We start from the raw sequence: 17,502 nt of genomic DNA, 5'->3' as shown, positions 1-17,502 counted from the left end.
AACTAGCAAAGACTTAAGAAGCTGCTGAGGGCCAGGAGTGGTGGCTCATGCCTGTAATCCCAGCACTTTGGGAGGCCGAGGTAGGCAGATCACTTGAAGTGAGGAGATGGAGACCAGCCTGGCCAACATAGTGAAACCCCACCTCTACTAAAAATACAAAAATTAGCCGGGCATGGTGGCACGCGCCTGTGGTCCCAGCTACTTGGGAGGCTGAGGTGGGAGAATCGCTTGAACCCGGGAGATGGAGGCTGCAGTATGCTGAGATCGCACCACTGCACTCCAGTCTGAGCAACAGAGCAACAGCTTGTCTCAAAAAAAAAGGAAAAAAAAAAAAAAGCTGGTGAGGAAGAAGGCAAACCAGTTAAATATCTAGAATGGGACCATCTAATACATGGTGCCACATATGCTATTTAATTAGAATTTAAAACTCAGTTTCTCAGTCACATTAGCCACATTTCTTTTTTTAGAAATAGGATCTCACCCTGTTGCCCAGGCTGGGGTGCAGTGGTGCAATCATAGCTCACCGCAGCTTCGAACTCCTGGGCTCAGGGTATCTTTCCACCTTAGCTTCCCAAGTTGTCGGCATACAGGTGTGAGCCGCCATGCCAGTGTGAGCCGCCATGCCAGGCTCATGTTAGCCACATTTCAAGGGCCCCTTTCAGGTAGCTGTTGGCTACTGATCTGGACAGCAAAGATACAGAACATCGCCAGCATTGCTAAAGTTCTATTGGACAGTGCTGGTCAGGAAGACAACTGAAGAAAGTATCTCAAGGACAGGGAGTGTCAAAAACTAATAGTAATAGTAATTTGAGGACTGAGACTTGACCATTGGATTTAGTTATGTGTAAGTGACCAGCAACTTCCTGACAGGACAGCAGTTTTGGTAGAGTGGGAGGCAAAAGCCTGATAGAAGTATATTCAGGACAAACTGGAGGAGAGGACTCGAAATCAAAAGAGAGGAGAGGACTCGAAATCAAAAGAGACAACTCTAAAGATTTGCAATTAAGATGGCTAGGGTGAATTAAACTGCAACGTATTTGTTGAAGCTGTTCCAAAGACAAGCCCAATTCTCATGACAGTTGAGTTTTTGGTAAACGGCACATAAAAACCCATGGACCAGTGATTTGCAACCCTGAGAGAATCATTTGAAGATTGCTTGGGGTCCATCCCAGAGATGTAACTGGTTGGAAAGGGACCCTGGCATTGTTTAAATGTAAGAAGTTTTCTTTGGGTAATTCTAATGTACATACAGCCACAGTCTAAGACCTATTCACTGCCTTAGAGGAAAGCATAAATACAAATGCATCATGATTCCCAATCATGGTCCAAAATTATATGGCACTTCTTTTTATGTTGGAAAATTTATTAAATGATGGCACATATTTGCTGCAAAGATGAGACATGGTATTGTGGTAAGTTTTTCTGCCAGTGTTTTGGAGATTGAGAATGTTAAATCCATCAAGATGGGAATCAACACTAGATAATCTTTTTTTATTATTTTTATTATTTTTTTGAGACAGAGCTTCGCTCTTGTTGCCCAGGCTGAAGTGCAATGGCGTGATCTCAGCTCACCGCAACCTCCACCTCCCGGGTTCAAGCAATTCTCCTGCGTCAGCCTCCCGAGTAACTGGGATTACAGGCATACACCACCACGCACGGCTAATTTTGTATTTTTAGTAGAGATGGGGTTTCACCATGTTCATCAGGCTGGTCTCGAACTCCCGACCTCAAGTGATCCGCCTGCCTCGGCCTCCCAAAGTGCTGGGATTATAGGCATGAGCCACCACGCCCAGCTGATAATCTTTAAAAAAAAAAAAAAAGACTAATCCTACTCACCATGAACAAATATGCTGGTTCCATGGCTTTGTGGGTACAGTTACTCATAGAAGCACTTTATCTGATGACTGCACTTCCCCAAAGAAAAGCTTTCTGTTAACTGTACAAATTTTGAAATAGAACCAAATTCTAACCTTCAAGGAATCACAACTTTTACTTTAAAACTGGTATTAAGAACAATTTAATATTAAAAAACGAGACAACTTAAAAACTGGTAGCATCTTTAAAACCAGAAAATTTACATGGGGACTAAAGCTCCATGAATTACATGATTCTGTAATTCAGTTTTCTGTTCCCTATACTGGCACTTTTGAAAAAATATCTGGCATGTTTTGGTGAAAAGTCTCAACAGGATTACTTCATTTCACATATAGTTGCAAATAAAATCACCTATCAAATCATTGTAGGATATAGCTCTATTTTTCTCATCTCTGGAAGCGAGTGTTTCCTAGTTATGAATCCTAGAATGTCCACTCCCTAAAATCCCTGAAGCACTTACTCTATTTGCCATTCATCTCACTAAGTAATCCTGTACTCACTGCTTTTTGTATTATGATGTGAACATGAAATAAATGGGCTGAGCACAGTGGCTCACACCTGTAATCCCAGCACTTTGGGAGGCCAAGGCGGGTGGATCACCTGAGGTCAGGAGTTTGAGACCAGCCTGGCCAACATGGCGAAACCCCATCTCTACTAAAAATACAAAAATTAGCCAGGTGTGGTGGCGTGCGCCTGTAATCCCAGCTACTTGGGAGACTGAGGCAGGAAAATCACTTGAACCCAGGAGGCAGAGGTTGCAGGGAGCCGAGACGTCATTGCACTCCAGCCTGAGCCGACAGAGCGAGACTCTGTCTCAAAAAAAAAAAAAAAAAAAAGAAAAGAAAAAAAAATGATGATCTGCTATCACACACAGGTCTCCTAACCATCAATTTCAACCTCTTCCTCAATCCAAGAGCTAACAGATTAAAAAATATATTTCACTTTTCCCTCTTTACCTTACCTAAAAAATGCTTTGAACTATTAAATAGCCACAAACCAGAAATAATCCACAACTTGGATAAATAGCTCCTAATCAAAAAGCAGATTAAACCTGCAATCTGAAATATAGTAATTACATTTGGAAATACTGAATTTACTACATTAATCCTACTCTAATTATTTTACTATTTCTTCTATCAAGGCAAAAGGCAATATAATCTTGAAAGATAGAGATGGACTGAACATTTGCTTACCAAATCCCAAAATACTAGAATTTGAAGTATAAAAAGAGATGAATCAACTTCATTAAGAAAACTTTGCAATACCAGTGGCAACCTCACAAACCTTGCATTACATAACCTTTTTTTTTTTTTTTTTTTTTTTTTGCAATGGAATCTTGCTCTTGTGGCCCATGCGATCTTGGCTCACTGCCACTCTCCCTCCTGGGTTCAAGCGATTCTCCTCCCTCAGCCTCCTGAGTAGCTGGGATTACAGGCATGCACCACCAGCCGTGGCTAATTTTTCTATTTTTAGTAGAGACAGGGTTTCACCACGTTGGCCAGGCTGGTCTTGAACTCCTGGCTTCAAGTGATCTGCCCACCTCAGACTCCCAAAGTGCTGGGAGTAGCATGAGCCACCCCTTTTTAATAGAAATGGGGTCTCGCCATGTTGCCCAGGCTGGTCATGAACTCCTGGGCTCAGGCTATCCTCCCATCTCTGCCTCCCAAAGTGCTAGGATTACAGATGCCACCACTCCCAGCCTACATAAAGCATTTATAAAACAAAACAAAACTGAAATAATTTTCTTAAATCACTGCCTCAAGACTAATAAAACTGGCAACTCTCAATGATTTCCCTCAAATTACTCTCCTTTTTGAGAAGCAGTATAGAATGATAAAAAGCTGGAGATCTGAAGCCAACATCCTAGGTTCAAATCGGCTCTTTCACATACTGGCTATGTGACTATGGACAAGTTATTCCTACGTGTTTCAGGTTTCTTCTGTAAAATGACACTAGTAGCAGTATAATACCTGCCTCCCAGGACTGTTGTGAAGAATAAATGTAAATCACTCATAAACAATGTCTGTAACATGCATACTGAATACTTAAAAGATGCAAGTGATTTGGTCATCTGACCCTCACAAAAACAAGTATTTCAAACTGCTGCTTACTTTGAGGATTCCACGTGTTATATCAAAAGATATATCATTTCAGTAACTAGACCTTTGGAGGCAGTGAGATAAATGAGACTAATTGATCTGAAGGATCTGATCTGCTACTTTTACATCACAAAGGTACCTGCTTTATCTTTTAAGTAACAGCTTGCTATGGAATACTCAGCCTTCCTTTCGGGTTCAGTCAGATGTAGTGGAAAGATGAGGTTGCTAGGAAACTTTCAGATTTCTAGTAGACAAATAGAGAAAAACTTGTCAATACTATTGCCATTTCCATTCTTTGGCATGACTGGGCAAAGAGTACCCAGTGCTAAAACATTTGTCATTTGTGAGAAGCGCTATGCCTCTGTGGTTAGTAACGATGGCGTTAGAATGCCTGGTTATAACCCTGGCTCTGCTACTCGCTGTGACCTTTGGCAAGTTACTTGACTTCTCTGCCTCAGTTTCCTTATCTGTGAAATCTGGATAATAATACCCATCTTATAGGGTTGTTGGGAGGATTACATTAGTTAATTTCCATAAAGCTCTTAGAATAGGGCCCAACAGAATAAGCATCAAAAAGTGTTGATTATTAAAAGCATAAAATGTTTTCCAGTATTAATGACATAACTGTATAAAAATATATCTTGATCTCATGCAGAAAAGAAATGCTACTGTGTCCATGTTTTAGTTATTTGTATTAGTACCAGATGTGAGGTAGTACAAATGCAAAGGAGAAGGTACAGGAACACATCTTCATGTAATTAACCTACTGCCTGATGACCTGACCTTGGGCCAGAAAAGAAAATCAGAAAGATTATGACTTGATAGCATCTTTTAGAGGGGTCTCATGCATCTGATAAGGACTGGACTAAATTACCTGCTATAGGCTGGCCATGGTGGCTCATGCCTGTTATCCTAGTACTTTGGGAGGCTGAGGTGTATCACTTGAGGTCAGGAGTTCGGGACCAGCCTGGACAACATGGTGAAACCCCGTCTCTACTAAAAATACAAAAATTAGCCAGGCATGGTGGTGGGTGCCTGTAATCCCAGCTACTCGGGAGTCTGAGGCAGGAGAATAGCATGAACCTGGGAGGTGGAGGTTGCAGTGAGCTGAGATCGCACTTCTGCACACCAGTCTGGGCTACAGAGCAAGACTCCATCTCAAAATAAATAACATAAATAAATACAGCTAGGCATGGTGGCTCATGCCTGTAATCCCAGGCCTTTGGGAGGCTGACGCAAGTGGATTACCTTAGTTAGGTGAGGAGTTTGAGACCAGCCTGGCCAACATGCTGCAACCCTGTCTCTACTAAAATAACAAAAATCAGCCAGGCATGGTGGTGGTCACCTGTAATCCCAGCTACTCAGGAGGCTGAGGCAAGAGAATCGCTTAAACCCGAGAGGTGGAGGTTGCAGTGAGCCGAAGGTTCCAGTGAGCCAAGACTGCACCACTGCACTCCATCCTGGGTGACAAAGCAAGGCTCCGTCTCAAAAATAATAATAATAATTTAAATAAATAATAAATAACCTGCTAGATTTTCATTGAACACATTGTTTCCATCTTCTATTTGTAAGTTATTTCTAGCCTTTCAACATTTAACACTTAGTTTCTTCCCAGATAGTTTTCTAAATCAGTAGCATTGGAGCGTACGTTCTCAGGGCCTTCTGAGACTGTGTCACAAGTCATGGAAAAAAAAAATTTTTTTAATTAAAAATAGCTGGGCATGGTAGCTCACACCTGTAATCCTAGCACTTAGGGAGCCAGAGAGAGGAGGAAAGCTTGAGCCCAGGAGTTCGAGACCTGCCTGGGCAACATAGCGAGACCCCATTCTCCACAAAAAAGAAAAATATAAAAAATAAAACCATTAAAAGCATTAATAATAATTTAGCCATTACCAAGAGGAAGAACAAATTCTGCTTATCAAGACAGCCATTTCCTCAATAATTTTTTAGCAATGCCTCATAAGCTGACAGCAAGTCTAGACAGCTGGCTTAGCTGCAATAGAATGAATCGGTGTTTTAAGTGTGAAGAATTTTAAAGCAAGCCAAGTAATTGTATAAAATTTAAATTTTATGATCATGTCTGGACCTTTTTACACTTAACACAATGGAAATGTTCATATTCATTTTTTTCCCCAAAGGAAAAATTTCTGAATCATCACTATGTTGCACAGTAGAATAGAAATATGAATTCAGGTACTTAGTCAAGTTTCTAAAGAATGCAAATAACAGACATGATTTAACTTCCAAAATCTGAAGTCATCAACATGATTTTGTAGTACTCTATCTCAGGTTTTACCTAAAAATTCGTTATTATTCAGATAAAGATAGCTCCCTAATCACATGTTTTTAAAAAGCCTCTGCCCCACGACAACTTCCTGAGATCTGTGAAGAAACTGCAGTCTTGTGATCAGACTCCATATAGGACTGGCAGTTTTGTAATCGTAGGGAAAAAACGGTGACTGATTTTACGTGTCAATCAGTTGTAGTCTGCTGATCTGATTAGAAGCCTTGACAAATGCCTGGTGGCGATTGCAAATAACTGCCAAGCATATAGGGATGATACAGTAGCCCACTGTTTTGGGATCAGCTCTTGTACAAGAGTATAGGAACAAAAACATCTGTAAGTAAGGTACCAGAAAAATAACTGTCCACACCCAAAAAGGCAAGGAGAGTAATTGAGCTTTCAAGGAGTGTGTCCATGTGGTTCCTTCAAGGGGCTCCTCAGGGTGCTGTTGAATGTGTTCCAAGGCCAGCCTGTTGTAAGTCTCACTGATTTCAAAAACATAGTAAAATGCTGCTGCACTGGCTAACAGATACAATCCCACTCCAATCCATCCCATCCGCTGACGGAAGTTCATCATTCTCCATGCTCTGTGCCTTCAAATTAAAAAAGAAAATACAATTAGGGTCTAGTAATGCTGTCACGGCAACTACTCCAAATGTACTTGCTTTATCTCCAAGAATTCTAGGCCGGGCGCGGTGGCTCGCGCCTGTAATCCCAGCACTTTGGGAGGCTGAGGCGGGTGGATCACGAGGTCAGGTGATAGAGACCATCCTGGCTAACATGGTGAAATCCCGTCTCTACTAAAAATACAAAAAAAATAGCCGGGCGTGGTGGCGGGCACCTGTAGTCCCAGCTACTCGGGAGGCTGAGGCAGGAGAATGGCGTGAACCCAGGAGGCAGAGCTTGCAGAGAGCCGAGATCACGCCACTGCACTCCAGCCTGGGCGACAGAGCGAGACTCTGTCTAATTAAAAAAAAAAAAAAAGAATTCTAAAATATCCCACTAACACACTTAAGATTTAAAATAATTAAATTAAACACCTATTAAGAAATGTAAAACTTACAGGTTGTTTTGTGTAATACTTACAATCAAGTAAAACAACACACACAAAAAAACAAAAAACCATTGATTTCAGTATATACTGAGTTCTGCTTTTTAACGGGAATCCCTCAGAATAAATCACTGCATCCTACTTAAACAGGTCCATAATACCCGCCCTCCAGAAACTGGAATTAAACTAGTTTCTCACAGCACATTTCACTTTGACAGGTGAAACACTTTCTGGCATAACAGTACTGCTTCAGACGTGAACGCGGGGTGCTACAAGTCAAGCCCCCAAGTTAAGACAGTAACTCCTAAGCACTTACAATGGTCCCGAAAATCTTCCTGTTCCCACGGCAAGCGTTAAAGAGTCACTCAGCTCTGAATAATCGGGTGGCTTTGGCATTTCAGAGAAAGCCAACATAAAATAAATCCCCTGGGTCACCCGGCTAGGAGAAAGGTGAGCGCCGCCAGCCTGGAGCACCAGCTACTAGTGATTAAGAACGGCGTGACTGCGGCGGGTCACGCGCGGCCCGGCCCCCGTCGCCGCCGCCGGAGACCCGCTCTGAGAACCTGACCCGGCAGGGAGGCGTCCCCGCCACTTGGGCCTCCGGGCGGCCGGCCCCGCCCCCTGCCGCGCTGCAGCGCCGGCACGCCGCGACCAAGGCTGCGCAGGCGGCGCCAGGCCCGGGCCTCGCCGCCTTGCAGCGCCGCGAGCCCAGCGCCCGTCAGCGGTCGCCGGCGGAGCCTGCTTGCAAAGCTGAGGTCCCGGATCTCACCTTCCTGTCCCGTGGTGGCCAGCCCGCCCGCCGTCCCGGATGCCGCCGCAGTCGGAGCTTCCGGCTCGGGCCGGAAGCGCGCGCGCCCCGCCCCCGAGGCCCGCCCCTCATGACGTCAGATCGCCCCCGCCCGCCGCGCAGCTTCCCCGAGCGAGACCAAAACAGGTGGAATCCGGGCTGGAGCCGGAGCTCCGGCGGCGCGGGTGGCGGCACGTCCCTCCAGGTGGGTGGCTCTCTGGGTCTGGCGACTCAGCGCTCCTCAGCCTTGCCCCCTGGTGCCCGCTCGCGACTGTCATCGCCCCATCACTTCTCGTTGCAGACAGTACCACAGGCACCTGGAGTACCGGCATCGGTCGCTGTGGCCCCCGAGTGTCCGTCAGAGCCTAGGGGAGCCTGCCCTCCCGCGCCTCGTCGGGGCCCGGCCAGGCACCTTGGCCGCCGGCGCACGGACGCGGGCACGAGCACTAGATCACGGTGAGTGGAAGCGGGCCCGACGCGGCCCTGCAGGCCCGACATCCGCCAGGCACCAGGGCTGGGAGGGGTGAGGGGCGCGCGCCGCAGTGCGGCTGCCCTGGCGTCGCCGCTGGGGGCAGGGCGCGCGGGGCTTGGGGCCTGCACGCTTGCCCTGGACGTTGGCACCTTTAGCTAACCTGTCTGCTCTGTCTTGCAGGCTGCTGGACCTCGGCACGTTGACAAGATTTCTCTGGGGTACCGCGGAGGATTACTTTGAATTTCGGTGGTCGCCTGTGGTCTGGCATATTTAGAACTTAAGTCTATTATTTCGGGCACCATGACTTTGAGGCTTTTAGAAGACTGGTGCAGGGGGATGGACATGAACCCTCGGAAAGCGCTATTGATTGCCGGCATCTCCCAGAGCTGCAGTGTGGCAGAAATCGAGGAGGCTCTGCAGGCTGGTTTAGCTCCCTTGGGGGAGTACAGACTGCTTGGAAGGATGTTCAGGAGGGATGAGAACAGGAAAGTAGCCTTAGTAGGGCTTACTGCGGAGACTAGTCACGCCCTGGTCCCTAAGGAGATACCGGGAAAAGGGGGTATCTGGAGAGTGATCTTTAAGCCCCCTGACCCAGATAATACATTTTTAAGCAGATTAAATGAATTTTTAGCGGGAGAGGGCATGACAGTGGGTGAGTTGAGCAGAGCTCTTGGACATGAAAATGGCTCCTTAGACCCAGAGCAGGGCATGATCCCGGAAATGTGGGCCCCTATGTTGGCACAGGCATTAGAGGCTCTTCAGCCTGCCCTGCAATGCTTGAAGTATAAAAAGCTGAGAGTGTTCTCGGGCAGGGAGTCTCCAGAACCAGGAGAAGAAGAATTTGGACGCTGGATGTTTCATACTACTCAGATGATAAAGGCGTGGCAGGTGCCAGATGTAGAGAAGAGAAGGCGATTGCTAGAGAGCCTTCGAGGCCCAGCACTTGATGTTATTCGTGTCCTCAAGATAAACAATCCTTTAATTACTGTCGATGAATGTCTGCAGGCTCTTGAGGAGGTATTTGGGGTTACAGATAATCCTAGGGAGTTGCAGGTCAAATATCTAACCACTTACCAGAAGGATGAGGAAAAGTTGTCGGCTTATGTACTAAGGCTGGAGCCTTTGTTACAGAAGCTGGTACAGAGAGGAGCAATTGAGAGAGATGCTGTGAATCAGGCCCGCCTAGACCAAGTCATTGCTGGGGCAGTCCACAAAACAATTCGCAGAGAGCTTAATCTGCCAGAGGATGGCCCAGCCCCTGGTTTCTTGCAGTTATTGGTACTAATAAAGGATTATGAGGCAGCTGAGGAGGAGGAGGCCCTTCTCCAGGCAATATTGGAAGGTAATTTCACCTGAGTCTCAGGGAACCACGAAGGGATATGGCAATGAGTAGAGCATGAAGGTAGAACAGTCTATATACTCTTGTGACACATACAATCCCTACCTTGTGCTGCCAAGTAACTCATTTTTGTGCAATTCTCAGTATAAGCCCTTTGTCGTTTCTGTGCCTATTTAAAGTCTCCTAAAGGTGTAATTGACTAGGAAGGATGTAGTTCTACACTGCCATTTACCTATTTAAATTCATCCTTGTGAATATCTTTGTTGTTGTTGTTGAGACAGAGTCTCGCTCTGTCACCCAGGCTGGAGTGCAGTGGCGTGATCTTGGCTCACTGCATCCTCCGCCTTCCAGGTTTAAGCTATTCTCCTGCCTCAGTTGCCCGAGTAGCTGGGACTACAGGCATGTGCCACCACGCCCAGCTAAGTTTTGCATTATCAGTAGAGACGGGGTTTCACCATGTTGGCCAGGCTAGTTTCGAACTCCTGACCTCAAGTGATCCACCTGCTTCGGCCTCTGAAAGTGCTGGGATTACAGGCGTGAGACACTGCGCCCAGCCTCATCCCTGTGAATTTCTTATTGTACACAAGTTCTTTCACTATCTGTGTGCAGTGCTCTGAGGGGACAGACAAGGCTTGGGTGTATATGCCAACCAGATCTCATTGAAGTATCAGCTTGTTTGGTACTAGGTGCAAGTGTAGCATGTCACATGTGACCATGTTGGATCATTGACAATTTTTAGGTATGTACTGACCTACATTTATGATGAAGATCCTGAGCGGAGGTTAAGATATTAAGTTATTTTCCATATGAATCAGAATTATATTGATTCTGTGCAATCAAAACAAAAGGCAGAATAGAATGCTGAGATTGGTTAAGTTTGCAATGACCATCTTGAACCACAGATTTCTGCTATGTGTCATCAAAACATCTAGTTCTGAGTAACATTTTCACGATTGTTATAAAATTATAGGTGTGAACTTCTAAAATAAAGGAATGCTAATAAAATGACTTTGTCTGTTTTGTTTATATCACGGTTCCAAGAGAGATTTCATTTGAATAAAGAGTTCCCAAAGCATGAATCTGCAAACCACTGAACCTACACAGACTTAGTTCCTTGGACTCTTTCCTCTTGGTGCTCAGGGGTAGGAAATTGTTTTCTAAGTGAAGGGACCTTCTACCGAAGCAGTAAAACAATGGGATGAAACAAGACAGTGCACAAATTAGTGCGAGTAGTGCAGATGTATCAGTGTGTCAAATTTGGAAGGAGAAGGAAAGAAATGAACATTGCATGCTGCTGCTTGGAAGATTGGACTAAAAGTTTCTCCATGTACTTTCCCATTTAATCCTCTTGAAAAAAGGTTGAGCAGTATAATCTTAGCACTTTGAGAGGCTGAGGCAGGAAGATCGCTTGAACCCAGGAGTTCGAGACCAGCCTGGGCAACATAGTAAGTACAAAACATTTTTAAAAACTAGCCAGGCATGGTGGTGTGCGCCTGCAGACCCTGCTACTCAGGAGGCTGAAGCTGGAGGACTGCCTGAGGCCAGGAAGTCAAGGCTGCAGCAAGCCATGATCATACCACTGCACTCCAACCGGGTGACAGAGCAAGACCCTGTCTAAAAAAAAATAATAATTAATTTAAAAAATTCCTGCGGTATAGGAAAACTCAGTTTCACACTTGTGGAAATGGGCACAAAAGGTTAGAAATTTGGTCAAGGGCTGGGCGCAGTGGCTCATGCCTGTAATCCCTGCACTTTGGGAGGCCGAGGCGGGCGGATCACGAGGTCAGGAGATAGAGACCATCCTGGCTAACGGTGAAACCCCGTCTCTACTGAAAACACAAAAAATTAGCTGGGCGTGGTGGCGGGTGCCTGTAGTCCCAGCTACTCAGGAGGCTGAGGCAAAAGAATCACTTGAACCCAGGAGGCGGAGGTTACAGTGAGCCAAGATAGTGCCACTGCACTCCAGCCTGGGCAAAGCGAGACTCCGTCTCAAAAAAAAAAAAAAAAAAGAAATTTGGTCAAGGTGAAACATCCTTGGGCCAGAATTCTATCCTCTGTAGTAAGTGTAGTGAGCGATTAGGCCAGAATTCTTGTCTTTCTGCAAGGCCCATGTTCTTTCTACTGCCAAGAAAGAGAAACAATCATCAGGGTATCTATACCGAATAGCCTCACAAGGGAGGCAGGGCAGGCATTGGCTCCATTTCATAAGTGTCCATCTTATGTGCATTGGAGGGGAGTACAGTTGACCCTTGAACAACTTGGGGCTTAGGGGAGCCAGCCCACTGCACAATCTGCACATAACTTTTGATTCCTCAAAAACTTTACTATTACTGACAGGAGGCCTTACCAATAACAGAAAGTTGGTTAACATATTTTGTATGTTATTTGTATTATATACTATATTAAAGTAAGCTAAAGAAAAAATGTTCTTAAGAAAATTATATGGCCATATGCAGTGGTTCACACCTGCAATCCCAGCACTTTGGGAGGTCAAGGCGGGTGGATCACTTGAGTTCAGCAGTTTGAGACCAACCTGGCCAACATGGTGAAACCCCATCTGTACTAAAAATACAAAAATTAGCTGGGTATGGTGGCATGCACCTGTAATCCCAGCTACTTGGGAGGCTGAGGCAGGAGAAACGCTTGAACCTGGGAGGCGGAGGTTGCAGTGAGCTGAGATGGCACCACTGCACTCCAGCCTGGGCAACAGAGCGAGACTGTGTCTCAAAAAAAAGGAAGCAAATCATAAGATAAACTATATTTACAATTCATTAAAGAAGTGGATCATCATAAAGGCCTTCATCCTGGTTGTCATCTTCACATTGAGCAGGCTGAGGGGGAAAGGGAGGGTTGGTCTTGCTGTCTCAGTGGTGGCAGAGACGGAAGAAAATCTGTGGATAAGTGGACCTGTGTAGTTCAAGCTCCTGTTGCTCAAGAGTCAGCTGCACGTTATTCTGAATCAGAGTCCTACTGCAAATTAAACACTTAGCAGTGGAGAATATGAGACTCTATAAGACCTGGGCAGGTGGCATGGGTTATCTTTTACCTAAAAAAAAAAAAAAAAAAAAAATGAAGCATGGTTGACAATTGCTGAAAGGTAGGATAAAGCCTTTCATAAAAGTACCCAAATTTGGGATGTACACCCTGGTTTTAGATTCAAAGGCATAGTATAATGTTTGTGTTATGACTAAATGTCATGATTAAGTTCCCGTAAGTTCTTCTACGATGGAAAGAGAAATATTAGATGACATATGGACTCTGAAGAGATTAGAAGGTGTAATTCTGATCTTGTTTATATTTGAGTAGTCATTTGGAGTGTACAAGGCATTGTGACACGGGCCACTCACTTGCCCCCTCAGTAGTGGGAAGCAGACATGGTTAGTGTGTGCACCCTTGGGTGTTAATACAGGTTGCTCCTCTCCATATGTGAGGCACTGAGCTGAGGGCTTAAGATTGTCGTTAGATTTAGACTACAATCCCTGCCCTGGAGGTCTATTCAGGGTCAGTGATGATAGCTGGCGTTGAACAGCAGATACCGAGCACCAGTGAACACGTTTGATCCCACAACGAGCTCAGTCCTTGATTTTCCCCATTTTACGGATGAGACTGAGAAGCTAAGTAACTTGCCCAGGGTTTCATAGCTAGTGAGTGGCAGGCTCAGACGTTTCCAGAGTTCTCCATCTTAATGTATTCTATGCTGCCTTATTCAGAAACCTACTATTTCCCCATTTGACAGATGAGAAGCTTGAGGATCAGAGAGATTCAATGCCAGGGGCAAGGGCTCATAGCCTGATTCCAGAAAGCTGTTCTTAAGGTGTTCTGACATGTATCTGGTAAACATTACATAATTTTTGTTTAAGTTATGTTTATGGAATCATGTAAAATAAAATATGCTCCCCTTAAATAGCCATGTTTCAACTGGGCATGGTGGCTCATGCCTGTAATCCCAGCACTTTGGGAGGCCAAGGCAGACGGATCACCTGAGGTCAGGAGTTCGAGACCAGCCTGGCCAACATGGTGAAACCCTGTCTCTACTAAAAATAGAAAAATTAGCTGGGCGTGGTGGCGGGCGCCTGTAATCCCAGCTACTGGGGAGGCCGAGGCAGGAGAATTGCTTGAACCCAAGAGGTAGAGGTTGCAGTGAGCTGAGCTTGTGCTACCGCACTCTGGCCTAGGCGACAGAGTGAGCTCCACCTCAAAAAATAAAAAAAAAAAAGAAACCATCACAGATCACAGACTAGAGACTAAGGAGAGAGGTGGTGAACTAAATGTAATGTGTCCTGGAAGGGATCTTGGAACAGATAAAGGGCATGAGTGGAAAAGTGGGATCCAAGTACAGTTAGGAGGTTAGAGGTCACAGTAATGTGCCAATGTGAGTTTCCTGGAAGTGCCAAATGTATCATGGAAATGTAAAGTGTTAACAATAGGGGAAGTAGGTGAGAATACAGGAGCTCTCTGCACTCTTTGTAACTTATCTGTAAGCCTAAAACTACTATAAAAAAATGTCCATTGAAACACACACATATCTTGGGTTCCTAGATGTTTCAGCAAAAAGTAAAAAATAAAAAAAGAAGGGCTGGGTGAGGTGGCTCACGCCTGTAATCCCAGCACTTTGGGAGGCCAGGGAAGGCTGATCGTTTGAGCCCAGGAGTTTATGACTGACCTGACCAACATAGTGAAACCCTGTCTCTACAAAACCACACGTGATGGCACATGCCTGTGGTCCCAGCTACTTGGGAGGCTGAGGTGGGAGGATCTCTTGAGCCTGGGGAAGTCGAGGCTGCAGTGAGCCGAGATCGCGCCACTGCACTCCAGCCTGGGCAACAGAGCAAGACCCTGTCTCAAAAACAAAACAAAACAAAACAAAACAAAAAAAACTATGAAGATATATACACCATATGCATGGTAATAACAAATGACCTGAGATGCCAACCAGTAAAACAAGTCATTTCATTCACTGAAACACCACTAGGTGGCGGTTACCACGAAAGGCAGGCCCCAGCCAAGCCAAAGCAGGGAAAGGGATTCTTATGTAAACAGGGTCATATCTAACCCTGGAAAACTAAAACATTTCTCAAGCTTTTATGGAGGAAAATATTTTTGAGTGCTCAGTCTAGGACAATGACTTCTCTCTAAGTCCATGACATTCTAGAATCTTCTAATTCACTGTTCAGAGAGGCCTGGCCTCACCAAATGGATTGATCTCAGTCTATTTAAATGAGAACATTCTTCGTGATTCCACTTCACTCCCAGCTAGAGCGTCTCTCAACATTGGAAACCAGATCAACTTCTGAAAGTTACTTATTTTAAAGAGAATGAAATTGAAGTTCAGGCTGGGCGTGGTGGCTCCCACCTGTAATCCCAGCACTTTGGGAGGCAGAGGCAGGTGGATCACCTGAGGTCGGGAGTTCGAGACCAGCCTGACCAACATGGAGAAACCTTGTCTCTACTAAAAATACAAACATTAGCCGGGCGTGGTGGCGTGTGCCTGTAATACCAGCTACTTGGGAGGCTGAGGCAGGAGAATCACTTGAACCCGGGAGGCAGAGGTTGCGGTGAGCTGAGGTCGCACCACTGCACTCCAGCCTGGGCAACAAGAGTGAAACTCTGCCTCAAAAAAAAAAAAAAGAAAGAAAGAAATTGAGGTTCAAAGCACTATGGAGCTATGGTGGGTTCCCACATGCTCTCCTTCTGCTGCTGCCAGCCAGCCTCACTCTGCTTTTAGAGATGTTGGTTTTTTGTTTTGTCTTGTTTTTTTTTTTTTTGAGCCTGAGTCTCACTCTGTCACCCAGGCTGGAATGCAGTGACGCGATCTTGGCTCACTGCAACCTCCGCCTGCTGGGTTCAAGCGATTCTTCCCCCTCAGCCTCCCAAATAGCTGGGATTACAGGCACCTGCCATCATTCCTGGCTAATTTTTGTATTTTTGTAGAGACAGGGTTTCACCACGTTGGCCAGGCTGGTCTTGAACTCCTGATCTCAGGTGATCTGCCTGCCTCGGCCTCCCAAAGTGCTGGGATTACAGGCGTGAGCCACCACACCAGGCCTAGTTTTCTTTTTCTTTTTTTTTTTTTTTTTTGAACTGGAGTCTTGCTCTTATTGCCCAGGCTGGAGTGCAATGGCACGATCTCGGCTCACTGCAACCTCCACCTCCCGGGTTCAAGCGATTCTCCTGCCTCAGCCTCCCGAGTGTCTGGGATAACAGGCATGCGCCACCACACCTGGCTAATTTTGTATTTTTAGTAGAGACGAAGTTTCTCCATGTTGGTCAGGCTGGTCTCAAATTTCCAACAGGTGATCTGCTTGCCTTGGCCTCCCAAAGTGTTGAGATTACAGGCGTGAGCAGCTGCACCTGGCCTATTCTTATATTACCATATAAACTGGGTAAGTATGTTAAATAAATTAGTGTCATTTATTACACTGATTTACTGATAATTAGTCATTAATTCACTGTAAAGTAGGCTTGTAAGTCACCACCCTAAAAGGTGGTTTGGGAGTCAGAGGTTGAGTCTACAATAGTAGAATTCTACAGATGAGGCATGTGAGGTTCAGAGAGGGTGAGAGGCTTTGCTCCAGGACACGAAGCTAAGTAGTGGTGGGGCCCAACTGGGAACCTGAATCTGAGGCTGCTTCTGTCTTGCTCTGTGACCTGAGCTGAGATGCTTAATTCCTCTTCGACTTCAGTTTATTTACCTACAAAATCTGTGCTCTCTTTTAGCTCTAAAACTCTGGTACTCAGAGGATTCTTTTGAGTATCTCTAAACTATAAACTGGGCCGGGTGCAGTGGCTCACGCCTGTAATCCCAGCACTTTAGGAGGCTGAGGTGGGCAGATCGCTTGAGCTCATGAGTTTGAGACCAGCCAGGCCAACATGGTGAAACCCCATCTCTACCAAAAATACAAAAAATTAGTTGGGCGTGGTCGTGCATGCCTGTAATCCCAGCTACTTAGGAGGCTGAGGCAGGAGAATCACTTGAACCCAGGAGGCGGAGGTTGCAGGGAACCGAGATTACACTACTGCACTCCAGCCTAGGCGACAGAGTGAGACTCTGTCTCAAAAACATAAATAAATAAGTAAGCTATAAACTGACACTAAGTTCTTAATATTTGTCATTTAATATGTGTTTCCAAATATTATCAGCATATCTTTTGATGAGTGTGCCTTTTAACTCTCCCACTAGATTCTATACTCCTCTTCAAGGAGTATCATATCCCTAGATAAGCCCAATACACTTGGAAGGTAATCAATATTTCTTTTCTTTTTTGAGACATGGTTTTACTCTGTTCCCCAAGCTGGAGTGCAATGGTGCAAACACAGCCCACTGAAACCTCAAACTCCTAGGTTCAAGGAATCCTCTGACTTCAGCCTCCTGAGTAGCTGGGACCACACACACACACCACTATGTCCAGCCGATCAATATTTCTTGTTTTTTTTTGTTTTTTTGTTTTTTTATATGGGGTCTCACTCTGTCACCCAGGGTGGAGTGCAGTGCCACGATCATGTTTCACTGCAGCCTTGACCTCCCGGGCCCAAACAATCCTCCCACCACCTTAGCCTCCGGAGTAGCTGGGACCACAGGCATGCACCACCATGCC

The 17,502-nt window shown here is 45.4% G+C and overlaps 2 protein-coding genes across 3 annotated transcripts; one reads left to right on the top strand and one right to left on the bottom strand.

Annotated features, from left to right (window-relative positions):
* Positions 1-4,647: 4,647 nt before the first annotated feature.
* On the bottom strand, positions 4,648-8,137 carry LYSET (lysosomal enzyme trafficking factor). Of its 2 annotated transcripts, none has more exons than NM_015676.3 (2): positions 8,079-8,137; positions 4,648-6,851 (listed from the first exon to the last, which is right to left on the bottom strand). In NM_015676.3, the coding sequence occupies exon 2, from the start codon at positions 6,833-6,835 to the stop codon at positions 6,440-6,442; it is 396 nt and encodes a 131-aa protein (NP_056491.1). In that variant the 5' UTR covers positions 6,836-6,851; positions 8,079-8,137; the 3' UTR covers positions 4,648-6,439. The 2 variants fall into 2 exon arrangements, with proteins under 2 accessions (NP_056491.1, NP_001092091.2); NM_001098621.4 differs by lacking the exon at positions 8,079-8,137 and adding an exon at positions 7,626-7,794.
* A 76-nt stretch (positions 8,138-8,213) lies between these two features.
* On the top strand, positions 8,214-10,912 carry MOAP1 (modulator of apoptosis 1). Its single transcript, NM_022151.5, has 3 exons — positions 8,214-8,301; positions 8,398-8,552; positions 8,749-10,912. Exon 3 carries the CDS (start codon positions 8,869-8,871, stop codon positions 9,922-9,924), a length of 1,056 nt encoding a protein of 351 aa, NP_071434.2. The 5' UTR covers positions 8,214-8,301; positions 8,398-8,552; positions 8,749-8,868; the 3' UTR covers positions 9,925-10,912.
* The last annotated feature ends 6,590 nt before the right edge of the window (positions 10,913-17,502 follow it).

This window comes from Homo sapiens, chromosome 14 (genome assembly GCF_000001405.40).
Source record: "Homo sapiens chromosome 14, GRCh38.p14 Primary Assembly".
NCBI classification, from domain to species: Eukaryota; Metazoa; Chordata; class Mammalia; order Primates; family Hominidae; genus Homo; species Homo sapiens.
Note: the sequence above shows the minus strand (reverse complement) of the source record. Positions and strands in the feature narration are given on the sequence as shown.

What these genes read in the sequence shown, in the direction of transcription:
- MOAP1 (NM_022151.5), top strand. Translation starts at nt 8,869, where the DNA reads ATGACTTTGAGGCTTTTAGAAGACTGGTGCAGGGGGATGGACATGAAC.
- LYSET (NM_001098621.4), bottom strand. Translation starts at nt 7,705, where the DNA reads ATGCCAAAGCCACCCGATTATTCAGAGCTGAGTGACTCTTTAACGCTT. An exon ending in GGAAGATTTTCGGGACCATT is followed by an intron (nt 6,852 to 7,625) that starts GTAAGTGCTTAG and finishes TTTAATTTGAAG; the next exon opens with GCACAGAGCATGGAGAATGA.